The following is a 6,503-nucleotide window of genomic DNA, read 5'->3' on the forward strand; positions in this document are numbered from 1 at the left end:
AGGGTAAGATTATTTTGCAAAATTGCTTTCTCACTCTTCCAGATAAATATTACATTTTAAAAATTACTTGGTGATCCAAAGATTAAAATGAATGCATTTCTGTACACTCCAAATATGCAATTCCAATGATTATTTAGCTACTGCAGCTGGAAATACATATATTTAGGGATACAGATATGTACAATTATGAATACTTGGGTAATTACACATTGTAACTAACTATTAATGCATGGACTAAAATCAAATTACCTCCACTGTTTTCATTGTTATTTAGTACTTAACAAGTATCCACTTGGCACTAAAAGATGGTCAAAATATATCAAACAATGTCAGCCTTCCAAAAAGGTATCAAAATACTTATATCCTAGATAGATACACATATGTTGTATGTAGTGCATGTTGGTGTTTCAAATATCTCATTATTTAATGTCCTGATCTGATAGAAATGTTAGATTTCAAATCACTGTTTCACCTATCCCAACAGTTACACCTGAAATTTTAGAGGCTAAGGAGAAATGTCTGCAACCTACCTCCTCAGTTGTGAACTCCTGTACCTGAAAGGCCAAATCCTCCTCCTCCCAGCAGGCAATCATCTTATGCCCTGAAGCATGAGATCTGATTACCCCTATCATCATCTTAGCTTGCATAGATACAGATGTTATTAACGGCTGTAGTTTATCCAACCCTTTTTTAAAACGCAGCTGCAGCATTTGACTTGGGGACCTCCTGTGAATCCCACTGGTTGACTCCGTCTTGCACAAAGCACGTGGGGTTTGGGGGAGGGAGAAGAGAGAGGGAGGTTTGTTTTGTTTTGGAGGGTTTTTTTTTTTTTTTTTTGAATCAGAGTTCCCTAAATAGCCACTCGGCATCTTTGTAAGTGATGTGAATTCTGAAATTACTTACTAGAATAGGACAACAGAGTACTGTGTGAACTAGATCTGTTGGAAACAAAGCATAGTAGAATGTATGATGCTTTTCACTTCATTGGCAGAGATCAAATATGTGGTCCTGATATACTCATCCACATAATAAAGAATTGTAGCTTATTCTGAAATATATTGGCCACATTCAAACTGGAGTACCTGGTTTTACATAACAATTGTTTCTACAAGTGTTGAAACAGTAATCTGGATAAAGTAGGTCCTAAAGCTGCTGTGAAGGGAAGACAGGGACGTTTTTAAAATCTGAAAGGCCTAGATTGGCAATCCAGGCAGATCAAATTCAGCGATTAATTGGTCAATCTAATCATTGCCTTTTTCTCAGCATCTATGATTTGTGTCTCTAAGTATTGCTCCTGTAGGTCATATCATCCCTTCTATAAAACAGAGAGGACACCTCACAGGTTTCCTATACCTTGGAACACAGCAAATTTTAAGTACTGGCAGAAAGGGAATTTAGAAAAAAACCCTGTGAAGTAAAGGAGGCTGACGTTGCACAAATACTGAACTATAGTTTCAAGATGCACAAAACACTGTTCTTAATTCTAATTACTTCACTAGTAAGTAAGTGAAATTGCTTTAATTGGAGCTTCTAGAAGCCCTTCTGGGAAATGAGAGGTAGCTGGATGCAGTAGAATGCAGTGGAATGAGTATTTCAAAGAGCACTGGACTCAGCATCAGGAGATATGGGTTCTGGGGATGATCTCTGTCTCTCAGTGAGTAAGCAAGGACAAGTTGTCTCTAAGGTTCTCACTTTCCTCATCTATAAAATGACTACATTAGAGGAGTGCCTTGTAACTTATGTGCTCTGTGATTCCACGCTAAATGGAAGCCAAGTTAGACTGTGTAATTCACAGGAAATTAGGAGGCTGAAGAAAGCTTGGCAGCCAGTATCTCCCTGGATGTAGTCTGTGTTCTGCTTTCTTGTTTCTCTAGTCATTCTTTTGTTTTCAGAAAGCCAAAAATGACCTGCACTGCTTCCCAAGGTTTGGAGATTCAGAGGACCTGTCCCTGTTCCCTTCCTACCCCATTGCTGGGGCTGAGCAAAAATGAGCCCTTCACCTCAAGCTTCAGTAGCTTTCATTGAGTATCATCAGGCAGGTTCACTCATACATTCCACATTTACAAAGCACCACTATGTGCCAGGGTGCAAGGGACTAGAAAGATGTTTCTACTTGATTATTCTTGGAGCCAGAGAATGTCAAGATGCAGCGGGACTCTAGAAGCCTCGGAGTCTCAGCCTGACTTTAGAACTGAATTTTTGTCCAACCAAGGGTGTGAATAAATGCAAAGACATGACTTGTTATTTGTTAAGGTTGTGGGGTGAGGGGGGTGGTCACACAGAGCATTGTCTCCTTGTTGTTAGCAGCGTTCATCTTCCTACTTGTGGGGAGTAACAGACTACTTTTGGCAATACAGTGCTCAAAAGTGTCAAGAAAAACCCTGCAACTCAGGACCCACTGGATTCTAGAGAACAAGCGTCTCTTTTCTGGATTGTTCTTGTTTATTTGGGGGGTAAATTTGGATAAGAATCAAACAACTTGTAGAGAGATCCACAGCAGAATCAAGAGCAAGCCTGCAAACACTGTTTCTTTCATTTGGCACTTAGCAAGCACCTACTATGTGCCAGACACTGCTCCATGACCCACCTCCTCTCTCACCATCCACTGGGCAAACAACAGCCATAGGTTGAATTATGATGTGGAAGCAAATGCAAATCAACTTCCTCCTTCATATAAACAAACAAACAAACAAACAAACAAAAACTTGTGTCAGAATGTTTTTGGATACTAAACATCAAAACTCAGCCAAGCTCAGCTGGTAGGTTTTCCCAGCGATTTCCTTGGTCTGAGCATCTCTTAACTCTGCATATCGGTAAGGGGAATGGTATTTTAAAGGAGTGACTCTCTAGAGGTTGAATGGCCTCTGTGAGGGGTCGATCACAGGGGATTGGGGAAGGGGTCTCTTTAACACCAATTCCATCAGCTCTGCTAGCTGATGGGAAAGCTTGTCCTTTCACCTTCGGTATTTTAATTTAGAAGAATGTGTGTGTGTGGAGGGGGTGTTAATGGAAAAAATGTCACCGTTTTTAGAGAAGCTAGTGAATGGCAGGGCTAGCAGTCAACCTCAGATAGTCTGAAACTTTGAGGGGTGCTCTGTACCCCTGCCTCTCTCATACAACCTAGTTAATAGGATTCTCTTTAACAGGGCACTAGCAGAGGAATGAGCTATAATACAATACAGTCCTCAGAGGACTGTAGAATCAGTAGATTCTCCTAACACAAGGCCAGCTTTCCAGGGCAATTCTGGACAGCCTATGTCACCGCACACTGGTTTAGGGCTCCTTGTATATATCTCCAGTGTCCTGTGTTTCATCCCAATCTAAAACATTTATCATCTTTTATGTGTCTGCTCCCTGCTACATGGAGAAAGGAGTCATGTCATTAATCTGCTATATCCCCAGGGTCTGGCATATAGTGGGTGCTCAGTATTTGATGAGTGGGTAGATTGATGGATGGGCAGAAATACCCCTTGATCCATGGTCCTCTCATGATCTTATTTCCTATCTCTTGGACCAAAATGTAAACATCCTTCGATAAAAGAACCTTCCCTGCGTTTTAGGCTTTGGTTTTGGTTGAGAGCTCCATACTCACAAGCGCCTACAGAGGAAATTAGGGGCTATGTCTGAACCTGTTTAGAAGGGTTTCAGAACCTCTGAGGGTGTGGCTATCCCCACCACCTTCCAAAGCAATAAACTTATCCTTGTAACTTAAGGTCTTGTCTCTGTTAAAAGATAATTCTGAGCCAGATGGCATTTGCCCCTTATCAATCATTTCCTTTAATGGACTCACAGGAAAAAATCTTTGAAAGTTAAGACCGAACAGGGTGAGAATCCTTTTACAAATAACAATCTGGAACCCAGAGAGGTCTAGCCACTCGCCTAAGGTCACACAGCTTGTTGGCACAGCCCTGAATCCCTATCTCGTGGTTTCCAGCGTTTAGCCTGGCTGTGCCTCCAGTGGCCCCTCAGGGCATCTGCAGGTGACTTCCCTTCATTTGCCCAACATTTATGCAGCACCTACTATGAATCAGGCAGCATGCTGGGGCCTGTGGATAGAAAGATGAAGAGCCATAGTCTTTGTCCTGCAAAGGCTTTCTTCTCTGAGCTGTACCCATGGTAGCCCCAAGTTTCTACGCCTTAAATCCGAGGTCCCCCGTGGCCTGCAGCAGCTTTGCCTGAGTAGAAGGCAGCCCGCACTAAGGCTCCAGGCTTATTTGGGACCTGGTGGGCGACGGGGCCTCAGCCCCTCCCGCCTACCCTGGAGCTTGTTGCCGCCGTTACCACTGAACCAGTCATGCCAGAAAGTCATCACGATGATTTCAGAACTGTATTGTGATTTATGCAAAGCGCGCCGATAATTACAGCCGGGCGCACAGAACACAGGATGCATATGCTGCGGGTGTGTGCGCGCAGTGTTGTGCCTTTCGCCAGGGCTGAATGGGGTGTGTGTGTATTCCGTAGGCATCTTCTTGACACCATGCTTGATCGGGGACTGGTGACAGGAAAAAGAGGGAAGATACCCATTTTGATTTTGAGACAATTTGATGAGCCTTGGGAGTATTTTCCAGAAGTTTTGGTGCCTACAAATGAGCCAGCCTGGCAGGAGCGTTCGAGAGTAGGGGAAGAGGTGGTTTGGAGCCCAGGAAAGCCATCGTCCAGCCCCCGCACAGGCAAAGCAATTAGTAGTTCTCCTTCTCGAAACAGACCCCTAAATGCTTCCCCTGCAGACAGGCCTGGGTCTAGTCATCACCCCCCACACTGCCCTCATCTTCGCCCCAGATAAATTAGTTCCACCCTTGAAGTTCTTTGTCCTGAACCAAAGAACCCCATAATCGCGTCCGCGTTATGGGGGTGGTGGTGGTAGGTGGCTGAAGCAAGTGGATTTCTGGCGTGAACCAGAACCTGAGGATTCCAAACGGAGCCTGGCATCTTATTGTGTTTCTCAAATCCTGCCCGAAATTCCTCCCCTCTCTGGGCGCCGAGTTCGAGAAAGCGCTACGCCGCCGGTCGGGCTAGCTCCACAAGCGGCTGTACAAGTTGGCTGTCAAAAAACGCTGATTTCTCCTCCTGTCACCTAATAAACCCCTACGCGCTTATGGCCTCGTCCCACAATCCCCCAATCTCGTCCCAATTCGAAAAACCGAGGAGGAGGGAATAAACTGAGAGATAAAGATCCCCCCATCTTGCTCTTTCCCCGGGACCCCAGCCTTGGTCGCGGCGCCCCACTAAGGAGGACACAGGCTCTGGTGTGTGTGGTGTGCGAGACCCCGAGCTCGAGGCCGAGCCAAGGCTGGGCAGAAAGTTGCAATCACGTGCTGTCGGAGCCCACTGGAGCGCACAGCCCGCTCCCCCTGGGACGCCCAGGCGGAGGACCTGCTGCGCCCTCCCAGGGCTCGGGGGACTCCAGCATTCACTTGCACGCACAGGCGAACTCTGATTGAAAGCCCGGGATGACACCGAGTCTGGAGAAAGAGGGACCGGGGGGTGGGCTGGCGGAATTGCAGAGCGCCGGCCACAGCTCCCCTCCCCGCGAACGTCGAGCGGAGGGCGGGAGGTGTAACCTCTGACCTCTGGCCGGGTCCACGCCCTGAGGAGGGACTGGCAAGCTCTTGTTCGACAAGTTCAAGCTGCCGAGAGAGCTTAAATAGAATTAATCTCTTAGAGATCGGGGATCATCGCTCCCTCGGCATGCGCTCTCCCAGCGCCGCGCACAGAGCAAGGCGCGAGAGAGCTCAGGAATCGCGGGAAGGCAAGCGGAATGGGGAGGGGGTAGGGGATGAGGGCCTCTCTTCACTATTCCTCCGCCCGGAGAGCGGGAGCCCGCAACGCCCGCCGAGGACGAGCGGCGGGAGGGAACGCTCTGCCCTCCAGCCGCCCCGGTGCAGATAATGGAGGCGACAAGAGATTCGCTCAGCGTCGGATGGGCCAGCTCTGCTTGGGGAAGCTGGCGGCATCCTCCCCTCGGCTGGTGCCCAAACCCACTGCGCGAAGGCCGAAGGAACGCGGAACCTCCAGAAGACCCCATCCTCAGCCCTGACTTTCCGTAGATATGTGCAAAATGAGTAAATTACTCACCTCGGGCCAGATCCAAGTTTTACCCAACAGAAGGGGCACCGGACCAAGAATGAACCAACTCACATGGCCATGTCCGGCGCGCACAATCACACGCCAGCACACAGCCACCCAATTTCTTCCGCGAATCTATCTGGCACTCTGGAGAGAGGGGGAAAAGCGTTTTGAGAAAGCCCCGTCACCCCTCCCCTTCCTTCTTGCCGTGAAATATACGAATTCATTTTTATTACGAGCCGCACCGTCCTCACCATCACGCACGCACAGAGCCACACTCCCATATTCACACTTTCTAACTCGTAAGCTCCGACAGCGCCTGCATTTTCTTTGGGAGCCGCTTGGAGGTTCATTAATATCATTAGCATTTAACCCCCTCCCTCTTCCCATCCCCTCCCCGCACATGGCTGACGTCAGACCCCGCCAGGAGTTGGGGG

General features: G+C 47.6%; 3 annotated features.

Annotated features, from left to right (window-relative positions):
- Positions 344-845: an enhancer, noted in NCBI's record as "NANOG hESC enhancer chr6:108481039-108481540 (GRCh37/hg19 assembly coordinates)". NCBI's record gives its function as "activates a minimal SCP1, AML or CMV promoter by ChIP-STARR-seq in primed H9 embryonic stem cells {active_cell/tissue: H9 hESC(primed)}" and the evidence as "EXISTENCE:reporter gene assay evidence [ECO:0000049][PMID:30033119]".
- Positions 3,771-4,672: an enhancer, noted in NCBI's record as "H3K4me1 hESC enhancer chr6:108484466-108485367 (GRCh37/hg19 assembly coordinates)". NCBI's record gives its function as "activates a minimal SCP1, AML or CMV promoter by ChIP-STARR-seq in primed H9 embryonic stem cells {active_cell/tissue: H9 hESC(primed)}" and the evidence as "EXISTENCE:reporter gene assay evidence [ECO:0000049][PMID:30033119]".
- Positions 5,574-6,475: an enhancer, noted in NCBI's record as "H3K27ac-H3K4me1 hESC enhancer chr6:108486269-108487170 (GRCh37/hg19 assembly coordinates)". NCBI's record gives its function as "activates a minimal SCP1, AML or CMV promoter by ChIP-STARR-seq in primed H9 embryonic stem cells {active_cell/tissue: H9 hESC(primed)}" and the evidence as "EXISTENCE:reporter gene assay evidence [ECO:0000049][PMID:30033119]".

The sequence above is a fragment of the Homo sapiens genome, chromosome 6 (genome assembly GCF_000001405.40).
Source record: "Homo sapiens chromosome 6, GRCh38.p14 Primary Assembly".
NCBI lineage: Eukaryota > Metazoa > Chordata > Mammalia > Primates > Hominidae > Homo > Homo sapiens.